The following is a 14,474-nucleotide window of genomic DNA, read 5'->3' on the forward strand; positions in this document are numbered from 1 at the left end:
CTGTATTTTACTATTTGAAAATTTCACAGCTGAATGAGCTTGTGATTTCTGTTTATTGTTAACCCATACTCCTTTCAAAGTACCACTTGAACTTCAGCTGAGTATGATTTTCAGCCAGCTTGTTTTTAGTGTATGCCATCTATTTTTGCTAGTGGGAATGCTTGCCATTTCTCCCAGGAGAACTAACTATAAATTATACTTCAGAGAACTTCTAAATAAATATGTTCATGCCTCAGCACCTTAATGTGTTAATTAGCTATTAACAGTGTCAGTAAATTAGACCTGTCAAAAATAATGGCCTCCTTGACTAGGTTTTTACTAACACTTCTCCTGGTGGTGTTACTTGTAAGTTTTGCCCTCAGGAACTGTTAGAAAGCAAGGCTGTAGAGGTCTGCTTTGCAAAAGATGAACTCTGAAAGGGTTTGTTGGAATCATCTTGGCTCCAATCTGTGGGTGTTGTAAGGACTGGTAGCCTTAGAACACTGAGAATTTACAAATCTCAGGCTTACGAGCAACTCCATTACATTTATGGCTGGCAGGGGAGTTTATCCCCTGCTCTTTGCTCTCCATTTCAGAAAATCTGGCCAATGATCGTCCTTGTAAATTGCCTTCTTTGTGCATGCGCAAAATTAACAAGTTATGGCTGCTGTTCATGCTGGAGAAAGGTACCTCATTTTCCAAATCCGGGTTCTGGTTGGCACAAAAGAAGGACCTGACCAGATCAGAATCTGCCCTGCCCACTTCTCCTCTCATGCTTGTGTCAAGAGACCAAAGTGGGTCCTGCTGCCAATACCAGGGCTGGGACGGGGCATCTCAGAGTGAGAAACTCGGGAAAAATGTTATCAGTGGTGATTACATAAAGTTCAAAGACTACTGTTATTTTCCCTGTTGTATTAAGAATCGAATGGGTTGGCCTGGGATTCTACCCACTGTTTATCATCTGGGAAATGCATTCCGCGTTCTAAATGACCAGATTGTAGAATTTAACCTTTGGTAAATTCCCGACAACTTGCACTTTCTGTTAACAAAGCATGGAAGTAACTAAAGGCAATGCAAATTAGGGTACATGCTAATGTTTTCTGGGAGTATATATAAATGGATGAGTCCCCCATTTTTTTGTTTATTTAATGACTGCAGTCAGAGTCAGCTATAAAACCTCAAAACCATAGATTAAAATGAATTTCACAAAAAGAGCGAAACCACACTGTCCGAGTAGCCCTGGTGGCAAGTGATGAACCAGTTTGGGTTATCCTCACAGGCTCTCTTCAAACTTGCAAGGGACTGACAGGCTTCCCCTCTCTGTCTTGCCTCTACCTGCTGTCTGGGCTCTGGCTGGGGAGCTCGAGGACTGAAGTTTAAAATACAGCTGGTTCAGCATTTGGCAGCGGAGACCCAGATAGCCCTGCAGCACAATGATTGCTATGAAAGAAGCCTTCATTATCCTGTTTTGCTAAAAATAAGTTTGTTTTGCTGTTTTTGATAGCCACGGTGTTAGTGAAATTGTTTTCTGTATGGAAATATTTCACACTACACAATGGAAGGTCACTGTCCTTGCAGTCTGCATTTGTGGGAGTCTAAAGTGTTTACAATTAAGTAGAGCAGCTCCTGTTTGCTCTTCAAAAATGGGTCCAAGGAATAGGATTAAAACTTCAATTTCATTCTTTTCCAAAGAAACACAGACTGGGGCCAGGTGCAGTGGCTCATGCCTTTAAGCCCAGCATTTTGGGAGGCCAAGGCAAGAGGATCGCTTGAGGCCAGGAATTCGAGACTAATCTGGGCATTACAGCGAGACACTGTCTCTATAAAAATTTAAAAATTAGCCATAGGTGGGGGCAAGCGCCTATGGTTTCAGCTACTCAGAAGGCTAAGGCAGGAGGATCTCTTGAACCCAGGAATTTGAGGCTGCAGTGAGCTATGATTATGCCACTTCCCTCCAGCCTGGGTGGCAAAAGTGAGATCCTGTGTTAAAAAAAGAAAAGAAAAAAAGAAACTGAACTGGAGGCCACTAGTATGTACTCCCTAAATTCATGATTATCATGGTCTCGGAATTATTATTTATCATGGCTCTGCTTGAACACCAATAATAAATGACTTATCATATATTGACACATAAGAGGTTTTTTCCAGTTAAAAAGTTTAATTCCAAACGTAAACCTGATGTAGGTATATATGTTTATTTGCTTAGCAGATACTTACTTACACCCGGTATGTGCTACTATCACTATTTTAGATCGAAATATGGCATTGTTTCAGGCTGAAATGAAAATGGCTTATGTGGTAAAAGCTTATTAGTTTAAACCCTGTTAATGTAAAAACCTGGACAAAAGCCACACTGAAGTTTACCGTGTACCCTGGCTGTGCAAATAAAAATACATGACTAAGAACATGAATAGCACAGGAAGGATGAACAAACGAACTGACAGAACATACTCGTTAGGGTACTTTAAAGGCATTCATTTATAAAAGAACAGTTGACTTAATCACTATAAATTACTCTTCTACAAAATAGTGCTTTTTAAAACCCAGTTTTATTATATACACCCTGAAAACAATAGTACTTCACTAAAGTATTCCCTTAGACCCCCCATGGTTCATGATGATATTCCAGTTAGTCTGCTATTAATAAGCGTCCACTAATATTGGAAGGTTTGACCCTTTGGATCTCTTTCTGCCACCCAGTTATAAATCTTATCATTTGATAATGTCAAAACCATTAAAACACCCTTTTAAAGTCCAATGAGCGGAGGAGCTACAGAGTTGTGATGGTGGCAGATGATGTTTTTTCACAGTGAAAGGCACCTTTCACTGTGGAATTTCACTATATGGAATTCGTAGTCTGATTTGGGATGGAATCCATGTCTGCCACTTTCTAACTCACCTCTGGTAAGTCACATAACCTTTGTGTGCCTCAGTTTCCTCACTGGTGAATATGGAAATAACACTCAGATCTATCCTGAGGATTCCCCATAAACCGCACTTCACAGTGTGTGACCTAGAATAGGCACTCCCTGTAGATTAACTTGCTTTCCTTTCTTGCTTGTCTTGCCACATGTTTTCACCATCACAGTTATCTTTTTGGAAAACAAACATCCAGAATGACAACGTAAAATGAGGATTTCTCCCTGGACAGCCACATGCTTTATGTAACGTAAATGACCTACTCTAATTGCAGGTTATATACAGGCATGTAGAGGACTTATGATCGCTGCTGTCAGCCTGGGCTTCTTTGGTTCCATATTTGCGCTCTTTGGAATGAAGTGTACCAAAGTCGGAGGCTCCGATAAAGCCAAAGCTAAAATTGCTTGTTTGGCTGGGATTGTATTCATACTGTCAGGTAAATAGTAACTTTCTTCCAAACAAGGTACTTGATGATGTTAATGAAATCACACTAACCATAGTGCTTTCCCTCTAATATTTGTTAGGGCTGTGCTCAATGACTGGATGTTCCCTATATGCAAACAAAATCACAACGGAATTCTTTGATCCTCTCTTTGTTGAGCAAAAGTAAGTACTCTTCTCAGTCTGTTTCCAGCTCACAGGAAGTGTATATAAATTAATATTCTCAACCAAGAGACATGAATTTCCTATATGACTTTTGAAAGTAAGACATACTGATAAATGGTAACTGATGACATCATTCAAGATTAAATGTGTCATATGCCACATACGCAAAATATGCATTTAATTAGTTTGCTAGTGTTGCAGTGTCTTGTCTCGAAACAGTTCAAGGCATCAAATTTAGAACTATAAACTTCATCGTTTGCTGTACATCATGAAACTGAGGTCAAGTAGAGGAAACGTGAAAGGTGTCAGACGGAGAGGAAAGAATGATGCGGTGTGCGAATAGAAAATTAAAACCTTGCCTTGATTGTTGCCCACTCAAAATGATATTTGCCAGATGCTAGTTTCTGGGTCTTTTAAATTTGCTGTATTAACTACTGTCTTAACAAGCTCCTCCTAATAAACCTTTATAAAGAAACTGTATACGATGCAAGGTTTTTGAAAAATGCTGTAGGAGCACGGCACCTTTACCCAAATGTGGCTGGTCAGTCTTGCAGATGAATGCTTTGGAATTAACAGATCAGTTTGCTTGTTGGTGTTGTTTTTAAACTATGGGCTGTTGCTTTTTATAGTTTCCCTAGGCTTATTTCTTTGGATTGGGAAAACCCCAGGGATACCAAATCAGAATTAATATATTAAATATTTTGTCTTACCTAAGAATGTATCTACATCCCTCTTTAGGAAGCCTCACGTACGTGTGTGTGTATTGCTATCAATGAGGCTGGTAATTTTATTTTAGACTTCAGGTCAAATTTTATAGAATTTTTAAGAAGTATATTACTGAAATAGCTGGTCAGCTGGGCTTTACTTTTTTTCTGGTGGTTTTAGGAATCTTCAGGAAATTGATTTTCTAGTTCTGGCTTAAGTGTACCTTACGCATAAACAGTAAATGCTTATATCATGAAATAAAATGAAAATAATAGCTAGCGCATGTTGAGTCCCCACCAGGAGCCAAGCAGAGCACTGCAAATATTATTTTATTGTGTTATTTTATTTTATTCTTACAAACAACCTTATAAAGTAGGTCCTCTTGGTACTCTTTTTTTAAATTGAGGAAAGAGGCCAAGTGATGTGTTCAAGGGAACTTGGACCAAACTAGTAGGCTGATTGAACTGGGATTCAAACCAGGCAGTTGAACTTCAGAACACTGGCTCTTAAAAAGCATGATTTCTAATATTCCACTATTTTGTAATTTTTGTGACAATATGCTACATGTACTGTTCATCAAGAGGTTTCTTTCGTCCTTTTTTTTTTTTTTTTTAAGAGTTAGGGCCTCTTTCTGTCACTCAGGCTGGAGTGTGGTGGTGTGATCTTAGTTGACTGCAGCCTTGCGCTTCTGCACTCAAGTGATCCTCCCACCTCAGCCCCCCGAGTAGCTGGGACATATATGTGCCACCACAACCAGATAATTTTTTTTTTTTTTTTGAGATGGAGTTTTCGCTCTTGTTGCCCAAGCTGGAGTGCAGTGGTGCGATCTCGACTCACTGCAACCTCCATCTCCCAGGGTCAAGTGATTCTCTTGCCTCAGCCTCCTTAGTAGCTGGGATTACAGGCACGCACCACCATGCCCAGCTAATTTTTTTGTATTTTTAGTAGGGACAGGGCTTCACCATTTTGGCCAGGCTGGTCTCGAACTCCTGACCTCAGGTGATCCACCCGCCTCAGCCTCCCGAAGTGCTGGGATTACAGGTGTGAGCCACTGCGCCCGGCCCCGGATAATTTTTACATTTTTTAACGGAGACAGGTCTTGCTATGTTGCCCAGAGTTGTCTCCAGCTCCTGATCTTCAATGATCCTCCTCCCTCAGCCTCCCAAAGCACTGGGATTACAGGCATAAGCCACCATGCCCAGCCTTTTCTATACATTTAAAAATAGTTTTTATTCAGAAATGTTATTAAATGGGAAAGAAAAACAAATTTTATTAAATGGGTTTTAGACCTCAATATAACTTTTTTATCCCCTGCCTATAATACAAAAACATGTCCTAATTTATTAATTTTCTCCTACTTATCTTTCAAATGAGATTTGCACAGATGTACATGGCAGGAAACATTGAAATAAAAACCAAGGCTGTATTTCTGAAGCTTAGAAATATTTTAATGATATTTAAAAGAAATATTGTATTTAAATGATACATTTTTATTTTAGGGTTTGATATCATAAATATGCAGCAAACCTGTACTTCTCATGGTTTATTTTATTAAACACATTTCTCACTCTTCCGCATTATCTTTTCTATATTACTGGTTTTATTTTCCTGACAATTATTAAGGATATCTTTGTCTATATCTTAAAAATCATTGGACTCTTTCCTCAAATGGTCAAGGCTAATTTGTGTACAAACAATAACTTAAACCTATCTTTGCGTGACTGTTTTCTGTCCTTACTATAGCTCAGTCACCTAATTCAGTGTAGTGCCATTGGAATTTCTTATTCTCTTTTCAGATTTTGATTAAACTCAGTTCAGTAATTAGGTGCTATGAGAGGCTTTCCTCTTTTTCAACCTCTTGGTGCTACATTGGCTATTCCATTCTCATTAGCTTCTTGGAATTTCTCTTTCTGTCTCTGCCTACCCACTCTCTCTCTCTCTCTCTCTCTCTCTCTCTCTCTCTCTCTGTCTGTATTCTCATCTGTAAAACAAAGATAATAATAGCATACCTCTCACAGAATTGCTGTGAGAGTTAAGAGAGGAGAGAGAGAGAGAGAGAGAGAGAGATAGATGTGATTGGCACAGAGCAAACACCTTGTATTAGCTCTTATTGTGTTATATTAATTATTATTAAGATTGCTTTTTAATTCTGTATAGTATGTAAGATGTGGCTTATCTTTATAGATGCCTTTATTAGCTCTTTTCTGCAGTGGCTTAAAAATATAACACCTACAATTCACCAATTTACCTAATGTAATTAAAAGCACAAGAACCAGGGGTCATGAAAAACAGCAGTGCTTATCCATTGGTAATATTTACAAATAACAGGCCCTTTGCATCAAGGTCTATAGAAAATATAGACTATAAAAAACCTGATATTGAGAATGAGTTGACTTCTTGAGATTAGGACTTTCTCTCCTTCATCTCTGTTTTCCCTGCAGTGCCTTTCACAAAGAAAGGTCCTCCATGATTTCAACAAAATCCAGTTGGATCAAGGAATTATCAAGGCCTGAGAATTGTAGATACCATCAGATTCTAATTACCCACAATGATAGAAAAGGGGCATAAAAATGACATGACACCCACAAGAACTCAGACCTCATTTAAACAAAACACACTTGTATAAAAACTAATAAATTAACTAATATGACTTCACTTGGTTTCCGTTTATCAACACCTTCTAGTAGAGGGGATAAAAACTGGGAAGATGAATAAGCTATAAATTGGCTATCAGCACAAAATGAACTGATTTCCTAGCTCTCAAATGTCATCTTTAAAGCAATATTTTATTTTGGCTTATTCTAGGGATAGCACTTCTCTGGCTAGCATTTGCTGGAATTTGATAATTGATGCTTCTGGTTTTGTTTGTACATGAACTTAGAGAGGAATACGTTGTAGAATCAAAGCTTGTGGCAGGGCCAGTCCTAGATAGGCTGGGATGTGGAAGATGCCACTATAGGAATGTTCTATGTCTTTGGTGTCTTAATCAGCTGGCATAAGAATTAAGTTCCTTGAGGTCAGAAAACGTCTATGCAACTGTATCTTCTTTCCCTAGCACAGTACCTAGAAGTGAAATTCTTATGTGTAGACCTAGTCCTTTCAGAATTAGCAAAGAAAATTGTTGTCTCAGTGGATAGAGGGAGCCTCCCAGAGGATGGAGCAAGAAAGCTCTCTTCTTCCCATTATTATCTTACATTAATCTTACAAAAACTAGCTGCCACTAAATACCATCTCTCCCTGCAGGAGCATGTGTGTTTGGGCCCTTAGGAAGCGCAGTGAGAGACAGCGACTTGTCACATGTTCTAGTTTAAATTTCTGGTGAGCAAATACTTGCTCTCCAATACCCAACCCCTAAGGAAAAGAGTTTAGACCTCAGAGCATGGTTTTGTTGTTCTTGCTTTGCTGCTGCTCTTGTTTTTCCTTCAGATTTGTATGCCGTGTTAATTGGATCTTCTTTGTAGATTTCCAGGACAACTCTACATAAGGCACATCTTGGTTGCCCAAGTTAGGAAAACACAACTAAGCTCATGAACCAAGTTCCCTATACATTCCTGCTATATGCAAGGAACTCAACAGGAGCTTTGTTGATGAGGAAAAAATGAGTGGCTTCTAGCATGGACTTGGAGTAAAGATTGCAGCAGGCACATGGCAGGCAGTATTGCACTTTATGTTCAGTGGCTAGTTCCTCTAAAAGTCCTTCCTTTCCCACCACGTATCTGGGAAGATTTTTCTTCCGAGCTACAATCATTTGACAGAACTGCAATCTGTAAAGAGTTTCATCGTGTTCTGCTATTTCTCTATTTTTCCCTTTTGTTTTGCTTTTTTTCATTCGAGCTATGACTATGTTTGATGACTCCAGCATGAGCTCTTGCAGAGCCTTGAAAACTGTTTTTCAACTTTTCCCTTTAGGCTGTGTCAAACTAACTTCCTCCTTTTTATTAAAACAAAAACTAACAAATCTGAAAAAAAAAAAATCTCCTGCAAGCTTCTAGTAATGGGTACTCCTTAGCATGATTCACCATACCAGGATGTTGAAATTTAATTACGTTATTCCCACCATTGTTTTGTTATCCAAACCACTAACTTTCTGAATGTCCAGCTTTGTTTTCTTAGATAAACCATTGCAAGTAAGAATTGATCAACATTAAGAAACTTCTTTTCAAATCATGCAAAGTTATACGACTTAACTGATTGCTCTGGTTGAGGAAGTAGAACAGAATTGTTGTCTTAGACTTATTCTTTTTTTGTATATGACATTTACCGTTAATATTTTGGCCCAGCTATTTTTGTGTTGGGGTCTTATCATCCTCTAGGCTTATTTCCAGACTTTTCAAAATCATGTCGCACTTCTCATTCCTGGCATGTATTTGGTTTCTACTTTAGGATTTAAGCTTTATATAATAAAATATTTTCACCATTGTGGCTATTTAGTAGTTAGAAATAAACAACTACCTACTTTCTTTTTTTATTATTATTATTTAAGTTCTAGGGTACATGTGCCCCACATGCAGGTTTGTTACATAGGTATACATGTGCCATGTTGGCTGGCTGTACCCATCAACTCATCATTTACATTAGGTATTTCTCCTAATGCTATCCCTCCCCCAGCCCCCCACCCCCTGACAGGCCCCAGTGTGTGATGTTCCCCACCTTGTGTCCATGTGTTCTCATTGTTCAGTTCCCACCTATGAGTGAGAACATGTGGTGTTTGGTTTTCTGTCCTTGTGATAGTTTGCTGAGAATGATGGTTTCCAGCTTCATCCATATCCCTGCCAAGGACATGAACTCATCCTTTTTTATGGCTGCATAGTATTCCATGGTGTATATGTGCCACATTTTCTTAATCCAGTCCATCATTGATGGACATTTGGGTTTGTTCCAACTCTTTGCTATTGTGAATAGTGCCGCAATAAACATACATGTGCATGTGTCTTTATAGTAGCATGATTTATAATCCTTTGGGTATATACCCAGTAATGGGATCACTCAGTCAAATGCTATTTCTAGTTGTAGATCCTTGAGGAATTGCTACACTGTCTTCCACAATGTTTGAACTAATTTACACTCCCACCAACAGTGTAAAAGCATTCCTATTTCTCCACATCCTCCCCAGAATCTGTTGTTTCCTGTCTTTTTAATGATCGCCATTCTAACTGGCATGGATGGTATCTCATTGTGGTTTTGATTTGCATTTCTCTGATGAGCAGTGATGATGAGCATTTTTTCATGTGTCTGTTGGCTGCATAAATGTCTTCTTTTGAGAAGTGTCTGTTCATATCCTTTGCCCACTTTTTGATGGGGTTGTTTTTTTCTTGTAAATTTGTTTGAGTTCATTGTAGATTCTGGATATTAGCCCTTTGTCAGATGGGTAGATTGCAAAAATTTTCTCCCATTCTGTAGGTTGCTTGTTCACTCTGATGGCAGTTTCTTTTGCTGTGCAGAAGCTCTTTAGTTTAATTAGATCTCATTTGTCTATTTTGGCTTTTGTTGCCATTGCTTTTGGTGTTTTAGTCAGGAAGTCTTTGCCCATGCCTATGTCCTGAATGGTATTGCCTAGGTTTTCTTCTAGGGCTTTTATGGTTTTATGTCTTACATTTAATTCTTTAATCCATCTTGAGTTAATTTTTGTATAAGGTGTAAGGAAGGGATCCAGTTTCAGCTTTTACATATGGCTAGCCAGTTTTCCCAGCATCATTTATTAAATAGGGAATTCATTCCCCATTTCTTGTTTTTGTCAGGTTTGTTAAAGATCAGATGGTTGTAGATGTGTGGTGTTATTTCTGAGGCCTCTGTTCTGTTCCATTGGTCTATATATCTGTTTTGTTATTAGTACCCTGCTGTTTTGGTTACTGTAGCCTTGTAGTATAGTTTGAAGTCAGGTAGCGTGATGCCTCCAGCTTTGTTCTTTTTGCTTAGGATTGTCTTGGCTATGTGGGCTCTCTTTTGGTTTCATATGAATTTTAGAGTAGTTTTTTCCAATATTGTGAAGAAAGTCAATGGTAGCTTGATGGGGATGGCACTGAATCTATAAATTACCTTGGGCAGTATGGCCATTTTCACGATATTGATTCTTCCTATCCATGAGCATGGAGTGTTCTTCCATTTGTTCATGTCCTCTTTTATTTTGTTGAGCAGTGGTTTGTAGTTCTCCTTGAAGAGGTCCTTCACATCCCTTGTAAGTTGGATTCCTAGATATTGTATTCTCTTTGAAGCAATTGTGAATGGGAGTTCACTCATGATTTGGCTCTCTGTTTGTCTGTTATTGATGTATAGGAATGCTTGTGATTTTTGCACATTGATTTTGTATCCTGAAACTTGGCTGAAGTTGCTTATCAGCTTAAGGAGATTTGGGGCTAAGACGATGGAGTTTTCTGAATATACAATCATGTCATCTGCAAACAGGGACAATTTGACTTCCTCTTTTCCTAATTGAATACCCTTTATTTCTTTCTCTTGCCTGATTGCCCTGGCCAGAACTTCCAACACTATGTTGAATAGGAGTGGTGAGAGAGGGCATCCTTGTCTTGTGCCAGTTTTCAAAGGGAATGCTTCCAGGTTTGCCCATTCTGTATGATATTGGCTGTGGGTTTGTCATAAGTAGCTCTTATTATTTTGAGATGTGTTCCATCAATACGTAGTTTATTGAGAGTTTTTAGCATGAAGGGCTGTTGAATTTTGTCGAAGGCCTTTTTTGCATCTATTGGGATAATCATGTGGTTTTTGTCGTTGGTTCTGTTTATGTGATGGATTACGTTTATTGATTTGCATGTGAACAACTACCTACTTTCAGTCAAATTATCTCATTCTTGTTGTCAAGTTGAATGGACACTAGACAATGTAAGAAGTAAATTTCTAGGCTATACAGATTTTCCTGGGTGAGGTTGAAAAGAATATTGACCTCATCAGGTGACCTTGTCAAGATGTTTAATTTCTCTCTTCTATACTTATTATAATTTAATACATTATGGATGTTTGTTTATTTAAGTTTACTCCATTCATGAGTTATTTGGAGGATGAACTAATGTTGGTAGTGATCTCACATATTCTCAGATAGGAGATTCCAGATAAGTGCCAAGTGGTAAGAACAAAATAGAGTTCAACTGTTAAATATTAAGAAAGTGTTACTCAGTGGTTTCAGTTTGTTCAGAAATAGTGCAGGCCACCTCAGATCACCAGAATTACTTAGATGCTTTTGTTATGCTAGCATGACCTAAAAATCTGCTTGGGAACTAAATATTTGGCGCTCTCTTTTGTTTTTGCTGACCAGTGCATGACATCATGATTTCTGCCAGCGTGCCCTGCTTTCTGGTAATTCAGCTCTTACCCCCATTGCTCCTCTCCTTTTCACATCCTGGCTAACCTCTGATCAGCCTTCAGAACCTGCATTTTGGGTGGGGTGTCCCTGTTTTGGGTGCTCCCTTTCTACCTCGTGCTTCCATCCTAACCCTACTGGGTGGTTTGCACCTGCTTATTTATTGGTTGTTCTCCTAAACAAGACCACAAGCATCTAGAAGTCGAAACCATGTGTTACTCACTTTGGAATCTCTTGTAGAGGACCCATGCTCCATGATCCTTACAGCAAGGATGGTAAATCTGCAGTGGTGTAGGACTGTCTGTCTGTCTGCATATCTCCTAGAATGGTAAGACGGAGTGTGCTTGTGGTGATCGCTTAAAGGAACAGGGAGAGGCAGCATGGCACACTGTTCAAGAATAAGGACTCTGGATCCAGGCTGCCTGAGAGTAAACCCTCGCTCTGCCACTTTCTAGCTGTGTAACTTTGAAGAAGTTACTTACCCTTTCTGTGCCCAGTGCCCTTCATCCGTAGAATGAGGATAATACATACTAGGAGGCTGTTGTCAGGATTAAATGAGATAGTATACTTCAACTGTTTAGAATCATGCTAGTTCATAGTAAACACTTACTAAATGCTAGCTACTATTTTTAGGGATACTGACCCTAATGCACAGTATATTAATGTATAGTATATTACCTTATGTAATCTATTAAGGTTAGCCACAGAGAAATGTATGTTGAAATGTTGGAGACCTAGTAGAAGAGACAATTGTTTTAAGACACTTGGCTCTCAAGTAGAAGGCACGTTTGAAGGGGACCTAGCATGAAACTATAAGGCTTGGCTGGGTGCAGTGGCTCATGCCTGTAATCCCAGCACTTTGGGAGGCCAACGTGGGTGGATCATTTGAGGTCAGGAGTTCAAGGCCAGACTGGCCAACAAGGTGAAACCCTGACTCTATGAAAAATACAAAAATGAGCTGGGTGTGGTGGCAGGTGCTTGTAGTCCCAGCTACTCAAGAGGCTGAGGCAGGAGAATCACTTGAACCTGGGGGGTGGAGGTTGCAGTGAGCTGAGATCGCACCACTGCACTCCAGCCTGGGCAACAGAGGGAGTGAGACTCTGCCTCAAAAAATAAATAAATAGATATAAAATAAAATAAATAAGGCTTGTGTAATTTAAAAATTGTTGGTCACCTCTGTCATAGCATTGAGTTAGAGATAAGTAATAATTTAAAGTTGTCAACTGGATACTCTTGGTTCAATTCTAAAATGTGCTCAGGTAGGTTACTTGAAGACTGAATAAAATGTCAGATACGCCTTTTTTTTGAGACGGAGTCTTGCTCTGTCGCCCAGGCTGGAGTGCAGTGGTGAGATCTCGGCTCACTGCAAGCACCGCCTCCTGGGTTCACGCCATTCTCCTGCCTCAGTCTCCCAAGTAGCTGGGACTACAGGCGCCCGCCACCGCGCCCGGCTAATTTTTTATATTTTTAGTAGAGACGGGGTTTCACCGTGTTAGCCAGGATGGTCTCGATCTCCTAATGTCAGATTCACTTTTGATTGACCCAAGCTTCTTTTGCTGCAAGTCCATCTGTATATTTTTACCTCAACACAAAGCCACGTACACCCACATCCACACACGGATTCTTGACCCATGCTTACCAATACTGGCCATGCCCTAAGGCAGCTCAGGACAGTATTTGTTATTTTAGGAATTTCCCATCTTGAAGCACAGCCTTCTCTGTGATGTCAGTTTATTCAGACTTCAAAGTCTGCATGTAAACCTGTTATTGTGCCTACTGTAACTATTATGACTCGGTGCCTCATTTCTCACTTACGGCCAAGCAAACCCCCCAATTATCCACACACGAATGGAGATCAATGGCATGGATGGTGCTAAGCAACTGATTTGGTTTTGAATTGAACTATGTGACTTTTGGAACATGAGATGTTCCTTTTACATTACAGTTTACTTTGGCTAACAAAGATTAGCCAACATTAGATTTAGTCCTACTGTGGATGGTTTTTAAATTTCTGTGAATAATTTTCAAGAATTAGTACTTCTGTGTAGACACTCACTGATCACTTTACACACTATTAGAGAGGCAGGTGGTGGAGAGGAGAAGGGTGAGGTTTTGGAGTTTGACTCAGCTCAGATCCTGGCCCGGGCCAGAGTCCTGGCCCTTACTCTACTGTTATATTAGGTAGATTGCAGTTGTCTTGACTGGATAACAGAGGCAATATTTCCTGTTCTGAATGTTAAGAGGATTAGAGAAGATAACATATTGGGGAGATATTGGCCCAAAGATATGAAATTTCAGTTAGATAGGAGGAATAAAATATATACATAATTTAAAAATGTATATATATATACACACACACACACACACATATACGTGTGTATATATATATATATATATATATATAGACCAGTTTTATAACTATTTATAAATTCATTTCAGCATTCCTGATTGCCTAAATATGTTTCCTGAATTTACCTTTGGACAATTTGTAACATATTATGTTGGTGCAAAAGTAATTGCGTTTTTGTCATTGCTTTTAATAGCAAAAACTGCAATTACTTTTGCACAGACCTAATATATCTGCTTCCCTAATTAGTTAATGAGCTAAATAAAATCCTTGAAACATGTTCATTTTAGAAAATACAAAGAAAACGTCTAGAAAGCATCCACCACAGTGACACATGGTAGGTAATCAATCAATGTTACCTGTTATTAATATATACAATTTATAGAATTCTGAACTACCCTAATGAAAATCACAGTGCATGGAAGGATAATGGGCATATGTCTGTTATAATCTAGCCACAGAAAAGCAGTTTTTTTGTTTAGGTACCCCCTCCCAAATGTCTTTATTTTAGGTTTCCTAAATGTAAGAATTCTCTATGAAGTTTCCATATATAAGTAGACACTTATAACTTAAATTTTTCCATCCTACTTTAGCCACCATTTGGGA

At 38.9% G+C, this 14,474-nt stretch overlaps 1 protein-coding gene across 4 annotated transcripts in view; it reads left to right on the forward strand.

Annotated features, from left to right (window-relative positions):
• The window catches only part of CLDN10 (claudin 10), a 146,005-nt gene that overhangs the window by 123,205 nt on the left and 8,326 nt on the right, over positions 1-14,474 (forward strand). For 3 of the 4 annotated variants that reach the window (NM_182848.4, NM_001160100.2, NM_006984.5), the window contains exons 2-3: positions 3,173-3,334; positions 3,423-3,504. In NM_182848.4, coding sequence (NP_878268.1) covers positions 3,173-3,334; positions 3,423-3,504 — 244 coding nt within the window. Of the gene's footprint in view, positions 1-539; positions 666-3,172; positions 3,335-3,422; positions 3,505-14,474 lie in introns of all 4 variants that reach the window. The other variant, XM_047430765.1, reaches the window with a different exon arrangement.

This window comes from Homo sapiens, chromosome 13 (genome assembly GCF_000001405.40).
Source record: "Homo sapiens chromosome 13, GRCh38.p14 Primary Assembly".
NCBI lineage: Eukaryota > Metazoa > Chordata > Mammalia > Primates > Hominidae > Homo > Homo sapiens.